Source organism: Homo sapiens, chromosome 11 (assembly GCF_000001405.40).
Source record: "Homo sapiens chromosome 11, GRCh38.p14 Primary Assembly".
Lineage (NCBI taxonomy): Eukaryota > Metazoa > Chordata > Mammalia > Primates > Hominidae > Homo > Homo sapiens.
This window is the reverse complement of record NC_000011.10, coordinates 71,567,580-71,585,826: the sequence shown is the minus strand read 5'-3', so window position 1 is coordinate 71,585,826 and position 18,247 is coordinate 71,567,580. Positions and strand designations below refer to the sequence as shown.

Sequence of the window (18,247 nt, the reverse complement as noted above, 5' to 3'; positions counted from 1 at the left end):
TGATCTTATTCATTAGAAAACAGTAATATTGGCTCCTAATAATTAATATTAACAATAATCTGAAAACTTTTTATTAGAAATTATTTCTTAATATTAGTATTAATATCGGCCATTCATATTCATGTTAATAATAAATGAGGAATAATTCATACTAATATTATGCCCTAATACCTCAGTGGGTGTACACCCACCTGTGATATTGCTCCTAATGTCCAGGGAGGGAGAGAGCATGATATTACGTTCAATATCGCAGTAGGTGTAAACCCAGCCAGTGATATTGATCCGAATATAATCTCCAGGGGGTGGAGTATGACGTTACTCCCAATATAGCACTGGGTGTGCATCCACCCGGTGATTTTGCTCCTAATATTCATGGAAGAAGAGAATGCTATTACTCCAAACATCGCAGGAAGTGTACACCCCCGTGTGAGATGGTCCTCAAAAATATTCCAAATCGGAGGAGGTGATATGACTACATATATGGTAGAAAGTGGACGCCGCCAAGGATATCGTTCCCATGATCCTGGAGGGAAGAGGATAATATTACTTTCAATATCACAGAAGGTGGACAAGCCCGCAATGATATCGTTTCTAATTGCAACGTGGGAGAGGAGGACATGACACCTGATATCCCAGGGAGTAGGAACACCCCTGTGATACTGTTCCTAATATTCAGAGAGGAAGAGGATGATATGACTCCCAATACAGACGGGTGTACAACCTCTGTACACAAACGGTGTACACCGGTGTGTGAAACGGTTCATAATCTCCAGAGGGGGAGATGATATTACTCACAATATGATAAACAGGCTGTGAGTCCACCGCCGATCCTAAAAACCAGGGGGGCAAGAGGGGCTGGCTCTTACTGCCCGCATGGCGGGGGGCGCCTCGCCCCCTGCGATTGGGGTCCTAAGAGCCAGGGGGGCAAGAGGTGCTGGCTCTTACTCCTTGCATGGCGGGGGGCGCCTCGCCCCCCTGCGATGGGGGTCCTAAGAGCCAGGGAGGCAAGAGGGGCTGGCTCTTACTCCTTGCATGGCGGGGGGCGCCTCGCCCCCCTGCGATGGGGGTCCTAAGAGCCAGGGGGGCAAGAGGGGCTGGCTTTTACGCCTCGCATCGCGGGGGGCACCTCGCCCCCTGCGATGGGGGTCCTAAGAGCCAGGGGGACAGGCGGGGCTGGCTCTTATGCCCCGCATCGCGGGGGGCGCCTCGCCCCCCTGTGATGGGGGTCCTAAGAGCCAGGGAGGCAAGCGGGCTGGCTCTTACTCCCCGCATCGCGGGGGGCGCCTTGCCCTCCTGCGATGGGGGTCCTAAGAGCCAGGGGGGCAAGAGGCCTGCCCTCAAGTCCTTATAGTATACTAATCCATTACAAGCACTTCCCTTTAGGACCCACCTCACAACACTCTTGCATTGGGGATGATGTTTCCAACACATGAATGTTGGGGGACACATGCAGACCATGGCATAGAGAAATCTCTCTTTCCCACCTGGAGTAAAACTGAGCAGGGAACAAAAGTGGGCAACTGGAAGAAGCAGCCTAAGAGGAGTGAACACTGTAAATGGGGAAGAGAGAAAACAACAGCAGAGAGATTTGTGGGATTTTCAGAAATGCTTGAGTAGAGGAAGAGATTCCCTGCAAACACCAAAATGAGATTATATTATTGTTATTTGGACCGTAAAGGAAAAAAAAATTGGCTGAGCATGGTGGCTTATGCCTGTAATCCCAACACTTTGGAAGACCAAGGCAGGAAGATCACTGCAGACAAGGAGTTTGAGACCAGCCAGGGCAACTTGGCAAGACCCCATCTCTACAAAAAATTTAAAAATTAGCTGGGTATGATGACACACATCTATAGTCCCAGCTACTCAGGAGGCTAAGGAAGGAGAATTCTTTAAGCCCAGGAGTTAGAGGCTGCAGTGAGCTATGATCATGCCACTGCACTCCAGGCTGGGTGTCAGAGCAAGACCTTGTCTCAAAAAAAGAAAAAAAAAAAAAAAAAAAGGATCTCCACTGATACAATTTGGATGTCCCCTCCAACTCTCACATTGGTGGGGCGGGATAGGAGATGTTTGAATTATGGGGGCGGATCCCTCATGAATGGTTTAGCGCTATCCCCTTGGTGATGAGTGCGTTCACTCAGATCTGGTTGTTCACAAGTGTGTGGCCCCTCCTCACCCCTTGCTCCCATTCTCACCATGTGGCGTGCCTGCTCCTGCTTCACCTTCCACCATGAGGAAAAGCTCCCTGAGGGCTTGCCCAGAAGCCGAGCGGAGATGGGTGCAATGCTTGTGCAGCCTGCAGAACCATGGCCATTCTAACCTCTTTCCTTTATAAATTACCCAGCCTCAAGTATTTCTTTACACAATGCAAAGAACGGTCTAACACACCCAGAAAACTGAGACTGGCATGAGTAAAATATTACTTAATATAATATGCATGAATATTTATATTAATATTATGCTTGCAGAAATCTACCAAATCCATCTCCAGGATACATGATAATAAAGAATTTGTTTTCTTCTTTACTTGTGTTTCCTATAAAGACCATGGGTGAATTTTGAAATCTAAAAACATAAAATTAATATTATCTGGAGGGATAGACAGGGAAGATGAGAGCATGTGGGCAGAGGCTGTTGCCCATTGGTCACATGTGGTCAGCAGAGAGCGGGTGACCAGCACCCTGGAACTTTGCGGGAAGCACCAGACCAGCCTGGAGCTGAGGTTTTAATTGTAGGGGCCAAAACAAATGGGGAAGAAGACAAATTTAGAAAACAAAGAAAGTAGATGCTCAACTGAGCCAGGAGGAAGTCACTAGCAAAGAGGAAAAAAATAGAGCTCTGGAAAAATAGTGTAAACAGTCACAAGGAAAGGACCCTGCGTCCTCCCTGACCTCTGGACAGGTATATAAAGAGCCCAGGCTCAGGGGGCTCCACACCTGCACCTCCCTCTCACCTGCTCCTCTACCTGCTCTACTCTCAATCCGCCAGAATCATGGGCTGCTGTGGCTGTTCTGGAGGCTGTGGCTCTGGCTGTGGGGGCTGTGGCTCCGGCAGTGGGGGCTGTGGCTCTGGCTGTGGGGGCTGTGGCTCCAGCTGCTGTGTGCCCATTTGCTGCTGCAAGCCTGTGTGCTGCTGTGTGCCAGCCTGTTCCTGCTCCAGCTGTGGCTCCTGTGGGGGCTCCAAAGGGGGCTGTGGCTCTTGTGGGAGCTCCAAGGGTGGGTGTGGTTCTTGTGGCTGCTCCCAGTCCAACTGCTGTAAGCCCTGCTGCTCCTCCTCAGGCTGTGGGTCATTCTGCTGCCAGTCCAGCTGCTCCAAACCCTGCTGCTGCCAATCCAGCTGCTGCCAGTCCAGCTGCTGCAAGCCCTGCTGCTGCCAATCCAGCTGCTGCCAGTCTAGCTGCTTCAAGCCCTGCTGCTGCCAGTCCAGCTGCTGTGTCCCCGTGTGCTGCCAGTGTAAGATCTGAGGCTCTGGACCCAGACCTTCAGGTTTCTCCTCTTTGGTGAAAGCATTTCTTATGGTTTCTCTGAATCAGTTCATCCCACACATCATCCTGAGGCACCTGCACCTGCTCTAGCTCATCATCCATGCATGCACCTCTTTCCATGGCTCGGCTCTCCTCTAGGCCCTGCCTTCAGCTTCCTCACTCCGGAAACATGTGTTTCCTTGATGCAGGAGGTGTTCTTCCCTGGACGCCATGGTGTTCCCTGCACTTGGGTGTGGACCATCTTCTTCTTCTCCCTGGGCTGACTGAGATGCTAGGTCTGACCCCACAAGGCCAGGCCGACATTCCTGAGTGATCACTAAGAACCAGTTTCTCAACCACCACTGGGATTCTGGGTCCTCCTGGGCTGCTGCCTGTTCTCCTGTGACCCACCTGTGAGCAAGAAGGTCTCCTTCCTTCCTGTTGTCTCCATCTATTTAAAAAAAAAATGAATGAATTTCCTTGCAATAAAGCCTCTCATGTCTGTAAACCAACTGTACACTTGGTGCAATTCTGTCTAACCCCTTTCCTGTGTGGTGACTGATTCTGTGTTCTAATTTGTCAGCTAAGCTGGGAAATGCCTGCCAGCAGGCTTGGTGCATTCAAAAAGAACCACGAAGTTCACTTCTGCCTTCCACGCGGCCTCAAATATCTTCACTCTCTCTGCTTGCAGAAGAAGAGGGCTCAGCCTGGGGAGGATTCGGTATTCAATGCCCACCCTAGAGGCGCAGAGGGGCAGGCGGGCCCTGAGTCCTGATGACCAGCCAAGCAGGGCTTTGCACAAGACCCATGGCTTCCAGCTTCCCGCTCTCCTCTGGGGCCTTGGAAGGACCCAGGCAGGGCAAGGTCGGAGGAGGGAGGAGTGAAGCACCGCTGAGCTCCAACGCACTCTGATTCAAACACTCAATTAGCCTTTTACAATTATGAGGTCAACGGCTTTCCATAACTAAAGGTAACCAGGAAGTTACAGAATGGCCCAAGGTGTCCTCGGAGCTCAGTCTCCCGGCAGGAAAGGAGAGTTCCTGGGAAGTGACACATTTGGGGACCCTGAGCCAAGTCCATCTGTTTCATGGTGATGCGCCACCACGCTGAGCCTGTTCTCTGACCAGTGTCACAGGCAAGGCTTTAGAAATCACGCACTGGGGAGGAGGGGACAAGAGTGATCTGAGGACGATTTCCAGCCAAGCGAACCCGGAGGGAAAAGGTGGAGGGAAGACAACACACAGGGAGTGCTGGTGAGAAATGAGCTCCCACAGAACACTCACAGATCTAAGCGACTGCTGATACTGCCGGGGAAGAGCAGAGTGGGAATTTCCAAGACAAATTTCTGAGAGAAAAGAGATGCAATGTAAGGAAAAATGAAATAATCTAGAAATAAAGGCTTAGATTATTTCAACCACATTTAGGAGAGGGAATAAAAGTGTGTCAAAGGTGCATCTTGCTAGGGGACATGGCTATTGATAGTTTCACAACGCTAAAAGGAAATGCTGCTTAAGACAGTTCACTCAAAAATCCAAACTGGGAAACTCCAGAAGGTGGCAGCAGACATGAACGCAGAGTTCATTACATCTGAGCCCTGTACATTCCCACAACCCACAGGACACCAAGCAACTAGGTAACAAAACCAAAAATGCATGCTGGAGATTTATAACAAAACCAGGTAAGCCAGGCATGGTGGTGCAAACCTGCAGCCCCAGCTACTCAGGAGGCTGAGGCAAGAGGATGGCTTGAGCCTGGGAGTTTGAGGCTGCAGTGACTTTTGATCATGCCTCTGAACTCCTGGGCAACATAACATGAGACTTTGTCTCAATAAACCAAAAACAAAAAACAAACAACAACAACAAAACAAAAACAAACAAAAAAACACCAAACAAAAAATGAACAAGTGAGCCTCAAAACACAAGACTGTCAGGACAAGTTTCCAAGAGCCACAGTTCCCCAGAGTATCAGTGTCTGTGTAGGAGAAAGCAAAGAAACATCTAACAGAGCTGAAAACAGGGGAACCTCGAAAGAGCCAACAGGTGCGTGCCGGAAAACACAGCGTGAATTTTGAATTCGGCTCCTGAAATGGGGAAGGTTTTCCTCCCTCTAGTGGTGAGTGGGTGCAAGGGCCCTTGGTAAGTCCCTACAGGCAATGGAAGAAAGCTGGGAAGCCTGCCATGAAACAGATCACAGTGGTAGCGTACTGTTCCCAAAGGAGCTAATGAACAATGAAAGGAAATGATACCAGACATAAAAGAGGCTGCATGTGGTGGCTCATGTCTGTCATCCCTGCAATTTGGGAGGCCAAGGCAGGAGGATCACTTGAGACCAGGAGATCAAATCCAGCCTGGACAATAAAGAGAGATCTTATCTTTAACTTAAAAAAAATTTATTTTAAGTACCTGGGCATGGGGACACCCACCTGTAGTCTTGTTTATTCAGGCAGATTGCTTGAGACCACGGGATGGGGATTGCAGTGACCTGTGACTGCGCCACTGCACTTCATACTGGGCAACAGTCTCAGTGCAGTTGCTGCAAACTCTGCTGCTGCTCCTCAGGCTGTGGATCAACCTGCTCCCAGTCCAGCTGCTGCAAGCCCTGCTGCTCCCAGTCCAGCTGCTGTGTCCCTATTTGCTGTCAGTACAAGATCTGATCTTTAACACACAGTCATATTGGCTCTCATCCACATGCTCCAGACAGAGACCAATGTATCAGCATAAAGCCGTGAATCACAGCCCTGGGGTGACTGTTTTCTAGAATGCTGGAGCAGCAGTATTTGGAACAGGAAGAGCCTTCACAGGCCCTGTGCGGGGCACAGCCCCTCACCACCCTCGTCTCACCATGCGCGGCTGTCATGGTGCATGAGACCGCTCCTCTTCCTCTCCTGCACCACCTCTCTCTACCCTGATGTTCTAAACCCTCTCCTCCCAGGCACAGTCCCAGGAAAGCTCCTGGTGCCGTTTGTCTATTGGGCTCTGCAAATTCTGAGCCTTGACCTTGTGATTCCTTTGAATAAGCGATCGCTTCCCCTCACGAGTCCTGTTTTCAGTGTGGCCCTTTTCCTGCTGTTCCTTTTGAATGAGCCTTTCAACCTCCCTCCTGGCCCTAAAGCACCCCCTTTCTTTGCGCTTCCTGATCACATCAGGCTGTTGGGTGATCCACTCCTACATGCGGCACAGTTTGCTAAGCACCACTGCATGCACCAGGAGCGCGAGAAGAACGCAGCGTGGCGCCTGGCCTTGGGGTGCTTGGACGGGAGCTGGGGAGCCCCTACGATAGGGTGGAGGGGTAACTGAGGTCCTCCACAGCCAGGTGGCGAGAAGGCCGAGCGGGGCAGATGTGAGAGGGTCTGAGACGCAGCATGACAGGGAAGAGACCAGCCAACTCTAAAAATAGCTTTGGGAGTAGAATTTCAAGCATGGTGACTGCTTGGATGGACGAAGGGCTGGGAGAGGCATAGAGAGAAAGGAGGAGGGAAGGGGGGCTCCCTTGTTCCTGAGCCAGTGCAGAGTCCTCCAGGACCCACTTCTTTCTGTGTCCTGCCCACCCTGTGACCTGGCCAGCTGCACGTTTTCCCAGCAGGCTTGAAGCCACGCTGTGCTGTGAACATTCCCAGGCCCTGAACACTGAGAAAGGTGTTCACGTTGATGCCCAAAACAGTGAAATCTCAAACACGTGGCTAAACATGCAGAAGCTATCTCAGACCCTGAGGCTAACCCCTCACAGCCCCATGTGAGCTCCACGGCCTGGGCCCTCGCTGCAGACATGCCTGCGTGTCCCCCTTCTCTCAGTTGTGACTGTGGCTTGGACCTACCTACGTCTGCCCCCTCTGGCGTTGTGGCCTTGGCTGGCATCCTCTGAAAAAGATGAAGGGAGGGAAAGGGACACAGCCCTCCTGACCTCCCCTGACAAATGCTCTTGACTGACCCCCTCTCTGGAGGGGCTGGAGCTGCCCCTGCAGTGACTCCCCTGCCACAGCTTTTGGGGTGACTCCAGCAGCAGGACTGGCCAGACAGAACAGTAAGGGAATTCAAAAGAGACCCACCTTATTGGTCACATAATTTTGCATAAATCCCACAGGATAATATTAGCATTGGTTTAAGTGGTTCACTGATTGTTTTAAAGGGATTTGTATTTTGAAGTCTTAATAAAACAAGCAGAGAAAATCCATGCGACCCCTTGATTCTGCCAAAAAACCACCTGCTTCTTGGAAGAGGCCAGACCCCGTTCAGAGCCACCGTTTACCAATCAGAGAAGTAGAGAGGCTCGCTCAGCAGAGATGCGTGTCTCCTCTTCAAGCTGTGAGAGTCTGAAGCCCCCAGACACTAGAGGAGTGTGTGGAGGGTGTATGGGGGGTTGTTTCTGTTTGAATGTGTGTATGTGAGTGTATGAGTGTGTGTGTGAGAGAATGCGTGTATGAGTATGCATATGACTGTGTGTGTGTGCAAATATGCATGAGGATTTGCATGAGTGTGTGAGTGCACATGAGTGTATGAGCAGGTGCATGAGTGTGTCAGTGTGTGTGTGAGTGTGAGAGTATGTGTATGAGTGTGTGAGTGCATGTGAGCGTATGAGTCGGTGTAGGGGTGTGTCAGTGTGTGTGTGTGAGTATGAGAGTGTGTATGAATGTGTGAATGCATGTGAGTGTACGAGTTGGTGTAGGAGTGTGTGAGTGAGTGCGAGAATGTGTATATGAGTGTGTGAATGCATGTGAGTCAGTGTAGAGGTGTGTGAGTGTGTGTGAGTGTGAGAATGTGTGTATGAGTGTGTGAGTGTGAGAATGTGTGTATGAGTGTGTGAATCCATGTGAGTGTACGAGTCAGTGTAGGGGTGTGTGAGTGTGTGAGTGTGAGAGAGTGTGTATGCGCTTGCACAGAGTGGCTCCCATCACCAGCCCCGGTAGCTGGAACCCCCTGCGGTCATCACTGGAAGTCCTGACCAGAGCTGCCTGCCCTCCAGGCTCTGATGATCCTGCCAAGTCCTGCGGGTCCTCCTTGAAGAGCGGCAGCCTGAAGCCCCGACCCCTGCAGACCCAAGGCTGTCTGGGGACGGGGTGGTGCACCGCGTCCTCCTGTCCAGGGCCAGGCGCAGCGAACATGCCCATTAAACACAGATGCCCCTCACCCGCCGCCGGGGCCTGGGGCACGGGCACGTGCGTGTAGGCTTTTCAGGAACAGGATTCACGGCTTCTATCACCAGGTTCTGGAACGGGTCTCCCACGCACGTTGACCTGGGCCTCAAGTACTACAGCCTCCACGCGGGAAAGAAAAGTCCCGGTTCTGCAGGGTGACCAAGTCACATGAGGAGGACAGGCCAGGGATGGAGGAGCGGGGCAAACTAGGGGTATCGTTCACCCAAATTTGTCCGCAGCCCCATCCAGAGGGATTTCCTGCTCTGACCCCACCCTGCCCCTCATGCAGACGGAGGGGCGCAGGCGGCCGGCAGGGCGGGGAGAGTCCATCAGCCTCAGAGAAGCCATGGGGGGCTGGGGGCGGGGACCGCGGCGCTGACTGTCCTGAGAAATAGGAAGAGAGAAAGACACAGACGCGGACCCGATTCTCAACTCAGAACACAAGTGGAGAAGAGGAGCCTCTCGGGTCTAGGGGCTCACGGGACATCCCTGCCCCTCCTGCCAATTTTGCGTTTCCGACCCAAGTCCATGTGTGAATCCCCTGGGCTTTGGGGGTTCCCCATGCCCTGGTGGAGCAGCCCCTGCCCCTCCCTCAGAGCATTTCTCCAGCCCCTTCCCCACCACCTGCCATTCCCACAGGAATGTGCCAAGAGAAGCTTTAGGGCAGCCAAGGGCTTCCTTTCTTCTTGGCATCAGCTGGAGGTCTCTATGACCGCTAATGGTTGGGGGCATGGTGGGGAGAATTCATTATTTCTTCTAGCACTGTTCTCTTTAAGAAATTACATCATCAATAGTTTAGAAAGATTGCTTTTTGTCTCATAGCTCACTATCAATAACTATGTTAATTTTTAGAATTGTCAAATTTGGGGTGACATCATCAAATTGCTTTCCTATTAAGCTATAATATTTGGAAGACATTTCTGAAAACTAGCTCTGCCTCTGGACCTTTCAAACCATGTTTCTCCTCCACTGCCTACATGCAGTCCCTGGAGGATGCATGGTGTCACGACACAATCTCTGGCTGTTCATCTTTGTGTTGCCATTACCTGGGCAAGTTGTCACAGTGAGTGGTGGGAGTATTCCTGGAAGTCATTCATCTTCTAGAGGACAAGAATTTATTGAACTGTAGCTGGAAATTTACTTCGCAATGCTCACTCCCCATGGTCATGGCCCTAAATGAATATGGCCCCAGAAATGTCACCTTACACAAAGCCTATGTTGGGGCTACAGGCTTAGTGGTGGAAATCATGTGCAGTTAGGACATTTAGCAAATTTGGATCAGCATCTGTGTGTGTGGTCACATGTTACAGCCGCCAATCAGCCTCCGTCTGCACTGCATCCCCTCTGCCCCACCCTCTTCTTTGTCTAGTGAAATGATCTGCAACCATCCAATCCTCTCTCCACACCTCCAGCCCCCTCTTCATTTTTTCTTTATGTTTCCACTTGCTAAACTTTGATTTATTTCTTCTTAGCCATTCTTGCAGGGGTTCTCCTGCTATTCACTAACATTCTGTATCTTCTCACAGGATCAGAGACAGGGTTTGGGGGTTCATGAACCTACAAAATAACAACAGAGAAAGGATGGAACATAATGGTCGGTAGAGAGCAGGCTCGGGAGCATGGTAGCTGGCTGGGCCCTGGAGGAAGGTGGGTGATGAGTGAGTGATGGTTTAGGGGAAGTGATCATTCGTACCGAGGAGGAAGCTTCCTTTAGTTTGGTTTTGCAGCACCCTAGAGAGGCACTAAGAGCAGCCCCCTGGGAACGCCAGCTACCTGCCTATGCAATGGATCCGTGCCTTCCAGAGCCGCTCAGCCCTGGACAAGCATATTGTTTCCAGCTACTAAGAAAATGCTGCTGTGCATGTTCAACTCTAACTTTATGATCTGGGTGATGAGAAAATGCCCAGATCTCGATGAGCAGTTACGACTGCATACATACTTCATGTGCAAGGGTCAGGCATAGCGTCTTCATCGGAGTCCACAGCCAACCCTGAAGAGCTGCTGGTGAAATTGAATATGGGCTTACTAGGAAGCCCTACAGGTGATTCTCTGATTGGGGGTTGCTGGAGGCTCCACATAGCATTCCTATCTGCACAGACACTTCATGTAGCAGTGGGTCTGCTGGGTCATATGGCCCAAATGGCAGGGCAGCTTGCAACACAGCCTCATTCTACTGCAAACTTTTCTTGTCTGAGCCCTGCTCAAAACTGGAAGTTATTTAGTTAATGGTTGGTCGCTGCATACCCAAAGGTAGTGCACGTGCAAACCCTAAAAGGCCCACCAAGGGGAGAATTTTGGAAGGTGCAGCAAGTTTGCCCTCACTTTAGTGGGAATATTCTGACACTTCTCAGAACATAAGTTCTATAGAAATTATAATACACCTGCATTTTCACAAAGTTTATCCCCTGTCCTTGAGTATGCGTGTGTTTTACCCAGGTACTTAGGGTACTTCAAATTCCTACTTACTAGGGCTGGTGTAGTGGATCTACATTGTATCAATCTAGTGTAATGTTCTTGGATAACAAGACGATACAGATAACTCTGGATTCTACTGTGACAGAGAGAGGCCTTGACCTGGCCCTGAAGTAGCAGGGTTGATAGTATATTGCTGCTCCTGCCAGGTGAATGCAAACTCCCCTGGATCGTCTTTGCTAGGTGGAATTGAAAAGAAAATCTGTTATAACAATAGCTGCATATCACGTGTCAGAGGCTGTGTGAGCTGCTTCAATAAGGACGTGCCAACTAGGAGAGCAGCTGCAATTGGCTTTCCCACCTAATTGTTTAAAAAATTCAGAGTGTTTCTCCAAGACCCATGTGCCTTTTGTGCTGGTCAAACAGGAGAGCTAAATGGGGCTGTGGCAGGAATTAGAGTTGTCAATAATCTCTGAAGTTCTCTGAGAAAGAAGTATTACTTCCATTCTCTCTATGTCCCTGAGGGTGTGTGTGTGTGTGTGTGTGTGTGTGTGTGTGTGTGTCTGTGTGTGTTTATTTTTTAACTACAATAGGTCTTCTACAGGGACCTAATATGGAGATTATCTCAGCTACTCAGGTATCTCCTCCCACTACCTATTCCCTGTGAGGAGGCAGCCATGGGATTGGCCCACAGGCTCACTGGACCCACCGTAAGGAAGACTAAAGCCAAGCCCCCATCCCCCTCCCAACTTACAAAGGCTCCCACTCTGAGAATAGGCTCCTCTCGTGTGATCTTTCCCTAAGGATTAGCATCCATTGAAAGCTAATTTCTGATGATCCCCTGAAATATCTAGGCTCCCTTTTCCTAGTGAAAGTGGTGGCAGCAGGTTCCTTCAGGGGAGGCTTAGAACAGTTGTGGCTGACGTCTGTGACATCATGCAGGGCCCTTGCTTAGGAGGATCTGGCTTCCCTCCAGTCAATGGGCCCTGAATTTGCAATTTGGCTAAGGTTTCAGGAAACCCCTACTATGGTGATTGGAGCTACGTTTCTGCCCACCAGACCTGGAATGTTGCTGCTGATGTAGATGAAGCAGAGGGGGCATTGTAATAGGCTGCCTGTCCCCCCATCAGTGACCCACTGCTGAGCATGTCCACGTATCAGTGGAGTCTCACCACCACCCATTCCCGGCAGCTGGTGATGGTGATTGGGACACTTGTTTCTGACAACTCAGTGCCATCACCTGGCTTTCCCACTCTGGGCTCCTCTATTCCCATTGCAGTTGGGAGAGGCATCTCCCACTGTAGACATCTCTGGCCCCAGAGGACAAGGACCACCCCCTAAGAGCTTTCCAAGGATGCCTCGGCCCTCCTCACTCACGTGTGTTTTCATCCCTTGATTACACGAGTGTTCTCCCAGCCCTATCGAGTCATATGTTTAGGGGACGGTGAATACGTTGCACTTCATTAATCCACATCAGCATTCTCCTCTTCCTGGACTTTTGCTTTCTTTTCTTTACAGTAAGCGCTTGGCAAACTATGGCCTATGGGCAAACACACCCCACCCCTTTGGTTTGTTTTTGTTTTTATTTATTAACAGCTTTACGTAGGTAGCACTAATATACAAAAGAAAATTGCACTGATGTAACGTATACAGTTTGAGAACCGCCCGCCTCTGTAAAGAAAGTTCTGTCTACAGCTGCCTTAGTGCTACAGCGGCAGAACTGGGCAGCTGGGGCAGAGACCTGATGACTTACAAAGCCTACAACGTGACTCTCTAATCTTCCCAGGGAAAGCTTTCCAGGCCCGTGGTCACGATGCAACCTTGCTGACTGTCGGTCAGGTTTGTACAGTTCGGGCCTGGTTGCCAACCTAGCTGACTGTGAATGCCAGTCCCCGTGTTTGGACCAGCACTTTAAAACCCAAACCCTGGTGAGGGCACCTGAATAGACATGCTTGACTTGACTTTCCCTCATTTCTCAACCTTTCCTGTTCCAACTTCCCCTGCTCTGGACGATGAGATGGGCAGCACCCTGCACCTGCGCTGTGTGTAGCTGTCTCCTTCCCACACAGGCTCACCCGCTTCCACCTGTGCTGTTCTGGGGGCTACCTCTCCTGTGGGTCTGGGGATGGTGGTGGGTCCTTGAGTGGCGACTGCTTCAGCTGATGTCATTGGAAGGGGTCTTTCTAAGGGAGATGGGACCATCTTAGCTGCGGGTGGGTGGGTGTGAGGGGGTGACCAGGGTGGGCCAGGACAGGCTGCTTAGAGTTCAGGGAAATTTGAGGATTCCAAGTTTTTGACTCTTGTATCTACCCAGATGATTTCATCCCAAGAGTTTCAGCAGAGGCCTGCCCCTCGAAGTCGTGTTCTTACCTTATTACTAGCTCCTAATTGCAGGGCTGTGCATTTTAATTGCTGCCCTGATTCTGCAGCCCCCACAGTCAGGCATCCGCATGACCCCCAGCCGGGGCTGCCCACAGGAAATGATGCCGACACCCCGGGGTGCTCTCTTTTTGGCTGTTTGGGGGTTTTTATTTCACTTTTTCCCTCTACCAGTTTTTATTTCTTACACAATAACATCTTGGCAGCCATAAATAAAATAATTATGAAAATAAGGAAAAATTGCACAGAACCTCATCACTCTAAAGCATCGAATTCTTATATCCCACGTCCACATGCAAATCCACTGTTTTTCAGAATTGTAAAGAAAATATTTGACAAGAACATATACACCAAACCCTGTTTTTATGTTAAAAAAATCAACCACAAAAACTTAGAATGGGTGACCTGGTTTAACAGTGGCTAATTTTTTTTTAAAGACCTGGGTTATTTGAGTGAACTTTGAGCTCAGGATGAGGCTAGGGTGTGGCGTTGCTGCCAAAGCCCACTCTGAGGACTCCGGGTGCGTTCATAGCCAGTGAGCAGCTGAGGGCTGGATGGTCCCCTCCGCATCAGCCCATGCGCGTTTTTAATGGACTTTATTTTTCAGAGCAGTTTTAGGTTCACAGCAAAATTGGCAGGAGGGGCAGGGATGTCCCGTGAGCCCCTAGACCCGAGAGGCTCCTCTTCTCCACTTGTGTTCTGAGTTGAGAATCGTGTCCGCTCTGTGCCTTTCTCTTTTCCTATTTCTCGGGACAGTCAGCGCCGCGGTCCCGGCCCCCAGCCCCCCATGGCTTCTCTGAGGCTGATGCACTCTCCCCGCCCTGCCGGCCGCCTGCGCCCCTCCGTCTGCATGAGGGGCAGGGTGGGGTCAGAGCAGGAAATCCCTCTGGATGGGGCTGCGGACAAATTTGGGTGAACGATACCCCTAGTTTGCCCCGCTCCTCCATCCCTGGCCTGTCCTCCTCATGTGACTTGGTCACCCTGCAGAACCGGGACTTTTCTTTCCCGCGTGGAGGCTGTAGTACGTGAGGCCCAGGTCAACGTGCGTGGGCGACCCGTTCCAGAACCTGGTGATAGAAGCCGTGAATCCTGTTCCTGAAAAGTCCACGCGCATGTGCCCGTGCCCCAGGCCCCGGCGGCGGGTGAGGGGCATCTGTGTTTAATGGGCATGTTCGCTGCGCCTGGCCCTGGACAGGAGGACACGGTGCACTGGCCCGTCCCCAGACAGCCTTGGGTCTGCAGGGGTCGGGGCTTCAGGCTGCCGCTCTTCATGGAGGACCCGCAGGACTTGGCAGGATCATCAGAGCCTGGAGGGCAGGCAGCTCTGGTCAGGACTTCCAGTGATGACCGCAGGGGGTTCCAGCCACGGGGGCTGGTGATGGGAGCAGCTCTCTGCAAGCGCGTAAACACACTCTCACACTCACACACACACACCCCTACACTGACTCGTACACTCACATGGACTCACACACTCATACACACATTCTCACACACACTCACACCCCTACACCAACTCGTACACTCACATGCATTCACACACTCATACACACACTCTCAGACTCACTCACACACACACACTGACACACCCCTACACCGACTCATATGCTCACATGCACTCACACTTATACACTCAATCTCACACTCACACTCACACACTGACACACTCATGTACCTGCTCATACACTCATGTGCACTCACACACTCATGCAAATCCTCATGCATATTTGCACACACACTCACAGTCATACGCATACTCATACACATATTCTTTGACACACACACTCATGCACTCACATGCACACATTCAAACACAACCCCCCATACACCCTCCACACACTTCTTTGGTGTCCGAGGGCTTCAGACTCTCACAGCTTGAAGAGGAGACACGCATCTCTGCTGAGCGAGCCTCTCTCCTCTGATTAGTAAACGGCGGCTCTGAACGGGGTCTGGCCTCTTCCAAGAAGCAGGTGGTTTTTTGGCAGAATCAAGGGGTAGCATGAATTTTCCCTGCTTGTTTTATCAAGACTTTAAAATACAAATCCCTTTAAAACAATCAGTGAACCACTTAAACCAATGCTAATATTATCCTGTGGGATTTATACAAAGTTCTGAGACCAATAAGGTGGGTCTCAATTCCCTTACTGTTCTGTCTGGCCAGTCCTGCTGCTGGAGTCACCCCAAAAGCTGTGGCAGGGGAGTAATGCAGGGACAGCCCCAGCCCCTCCAGAGAGGGGGTCAGTCAAGAGCATTTGTCAGGGGAGGTCAGGAGGGCTGTGTCCCTTCCCCTCCCTTCATCTTTTTCAGAGGATGCCAGCCAAGGCCACAACGCCAGAGGGGGCAGATGTAGGCACATCTGAGCCACAGTCACAACTGAGAGAAGGGGGACACGCAGGCATGTCTGCAGCGAGGGCCCAGGCCGTGGAGCTCACATGGGGCTGTGAGGGGTTAGCCTCAGGGTCTGAGATAGCTTCTGCATGTTTAGCCACGTGTTTGAGATTTCACTGTTTTGGGCATCAACGTGAACACCTTTCTCAGTGTTCAGGGCCTGGGAATGTTCACAGCACAGCGTGGCTTCAAGCCTGCTGGGAAAACGTGCAGCTGGCCAGGTCACAGGGTGGGCAGGACACAGAAAGAAGTGGGTCCTGGAGGACTCTGCACTGGCTCAGGAACAAGGGAGCCCCCCTTCCCTCCTCCTTTCTCTCTATGCCTCTCCCAGCCCTTCGTCCATCCAAGCAGTCACCATGCTTGAAATTCTACTCCCAAAGCTATTTTTAGAGTTGGCTGGTCTCTTCCCTGTCATGCTGCGTCTCAGACCCTCTCACATCTGCCCCGCTCGGCCTTCTCGCCACCTGGCTGTGGAGGACCTCAGTTACCCCTCCACCCTATCGTAGGGGCTCCCCAGCTCCCGTCCAAGCACCCCAAGGCCAGGCGCCACGCTGCGTTCTTCTCGCGCTCCTGGTGCATGCAGTGGTGCTTAGCAAACTGTGCCGCATGAAGGAGTGGATCACCCAACAGCCTGATGTGATCAGGAAGCGCAAAGAAAGGGGGTGCTTTAGGGCCAGGAGGGAGGTTGAAAGGCTCATTCAAAAGGAACAGCAGGAAAAGGGCCACACTGAAAACAGGACTCGTGAGGGGAAGGGATCGCTTATTCAAAGGACTCACAAGGTCAAGGCTCAGAATTTGCAGAGCCCAATAGACAAATTGCAACAGGAGCTTTCCTTGGGACCATGCCTGGGAGGAGAGGGTTTAGAATGTCAGGGTAGAGAGAGGTGGTGCAAGAGAGGAAGCAGGAGCGGTCTCATGCACCATGACAGCCACCCATGGTGAGATGAGGGTGGTGAGGGGTTGTGCCCCGCACAGGGCCTGTGTAGGCTCTTCCTGTTCCAAATACTGCTGCTCCAACATTCTAGAAAACAGTCACCCCAGGGCTGTGATTCACGGCTTTATGCTGATACATTGGTCTCTGTCTGGAGCATGTGGATGAGAGCCAATATGGCTGTGTGTTAAAGATCAGATCTTGTACTGACAGCAAATAGGGACACAGCAGCTGGACTTGGAGCAGCAGGACCTGCAGCAGCTGGACTGGGAGCAGCAGGGCTTGCAGCAGCTGGACCGGGAACAGCAGGACTTGCAGCAGCTGGACCGGGAACATCAGGACTTGCAGCAGCTGGACCGGGAGCAGCAGGGCTTGCAGCAGCTGGACTGGGAGCAGGTTGATTCACAGCCTGAGGAGCAGCAGCAGAGTTTGCAGCAACTGCACTGAGAATGTTGCCCAGTATGAAGTGCAGTGGCGCAGTCACAGGTCACTGCAGCCTCCACCTCCTGGTCTCAAGTAATCCTCCTGAGTAAACAAGACTACAAGTGGGTGTCACCATGCCCAGGTACTTAAATTTTTTTTTTTTGTAGAGATAAGATCTCTCCTTATTGTCCAGGCTGGATTTGATCTCTTGGCCTCAAGTGATCCTCCTGCCTTGGCCTCCCAAATTGCAGGGATGACAGGCATGAGCCACCACATGCAGCCTCTTTTATGTCTGGTATCATTTCCTTTCATTGTTCATTAGCTCCTTTGGAAACAGTACGCTACCACTGTGATCTGTTTCACAGCAGGCTTCCTAGCTTTCTTTTATTGCCTATAGGGACTTACTGAGGGCCCTTGCACCCACTCTCCACTGGAGAGAGGAAAACCTTCCCCATTTCAGGAGCTGAATTCAAAATTCATGCTGTGCTTTTCCAGCACACACCTGTTGGCTCTTTTGAGGTTCCCCTGTATTCGGCTCTGTTAGATGTTTCTTTGCTTTCTCCTACACAGACACTGAAACCCTGGGGGACTGTGGCTCTTGTAAATTTATCCCCACCTTCTTGGACTTTGAGGTTCACTTGTTTTTTTTCTTGAGACACTATCTCACTTTAGGTTGCTGAGGCTGGATCCCAGGGGTGCGATCACAGCTCACTGCAGCCTCAAACTCCCAGGCTCAAGCCATCCTCCCACCTCAGCCTTCCACGTAGCTGAGGCTACAGGTGTGAGCCACCATGCCCAGCTTACCTGGTTTTGTTATGTCTCCAGCATGCATTTTCGGTTTTGTTACCTAGTTGCTCGGTGTCCTGTGGGTTGTGGGAATGTACAGGGCCCATATGTAATGAACTCTGCGTTCATGTCTGCTGTCACCTTCTGGAGTTTCCCAGTTTGGATTTTTGAGTGAACTGTCTTAAGCAGCATTTCCTTTTAACGTCGTGAAACTAACGATAGCCATGTCCCCTAGCAAGATGCACCTTTGACACACTTTTATTCCCTTTCCTAAATGTGGCTGAATTAATCTAAGCCTTTATTTCTAGATTATTTCATTTTTCCTTACATTGCATCTCTT

At 51.0% G+C, this 18,247-nt stretch overlaps 1 protein-coding gene and 2 pseudogenes across 1 annotated transcript, besides 3 other annotated features; 1 reads left to right on the top strand and 2 right to left on the bottom strand.

Annotated features, from left to right (window-relative positions):
- Positions 1-2,951: 2,951 nt before the first annotated feature.
- KRTAP5-11 (keratin associated protein 5-11) lies at positions 2,952-3,972 on the top strand. Its single transcript, NM_001005405.3, has one exon. It carries the CDS (start codon positions 2,990-2,992, stop codon positions 3,458-3,460), a length of 471 nt encoding a protein of 156 aa, NP_001005405.1. The 5' UTR covers positions 2,952-2,989; the 3' UTR covers positions 3,461-3,972.
- Positions 5,450-5,744: an enhancer, noted in NCBI's record as "tiled region #7507; HepG2 Activating non-DNase unmatched - State 8:EnhW". NCBI's record gives its function as "activates a minimal TATA promoter and a strong SV40 promoter by Sharpr-MPRA in HepG2 cells {active_cell/tissue: HepG2}" and the evidence as "EXISTENCE:reporter gene assay evidence [ECO:0000049][PMID:27701403]".
- On the bottom strand, positions 5,846-6,315 carry KRTAP5-14P (keratin associated protein 5-14, pseudogene; annotated as a pseudogene).
- Positions 6,167-6,678: an enhancer, noted in NCBI's record as "H3K4me1 hESC enhancer chr11:71290195-71290706 (GRCh37/hg19 assembly coordinates)". NCBI's record gives its function as "activates a minimal SCP1, AML or CMV promoter by ChIP-STARR-seq in primed H9 embryonic stem cells {active_cell/tissue: H9 hESC(primed)}" and the evidence as "EXISTENCE:reporter gene assay evidence [ECO:0000049][PMID:30033119]".
- Positions 6,679-7,192: an enhancer, noted in NCBI's record as "H3K4me1 hESC enhancer chr11:71289681-71290194 (GRCh37/hg19 assembly coordinates)". NCBI's record gives its function as "activates a minimal SCP1, AML or CMV promoter by ChIP-STARR-seq in primed H9 embryonic stem cells {active_cell/tissue: H9 hESC(primed)}" and the evidence as "EXISTENCE:reporter gene assay evidence [ECO:0000049][PMID:30033119]".
- On the bottom strand, positions 16,826-17,275 carry KRTAP5-13P (keratin associated protein 5-13, pseudogene; annotated as a pseudogene).

What these genes read in the sequence shown, in the direction of transcription:
- KRTAP5-11 (NM_001005405.3), top strand. Translation starts at nt 2,990, where the DNA reads ATGGGCTGCTGTGGCTGTTCTGGAGGCTGTGGCTCTGGCTGTGGGGGC.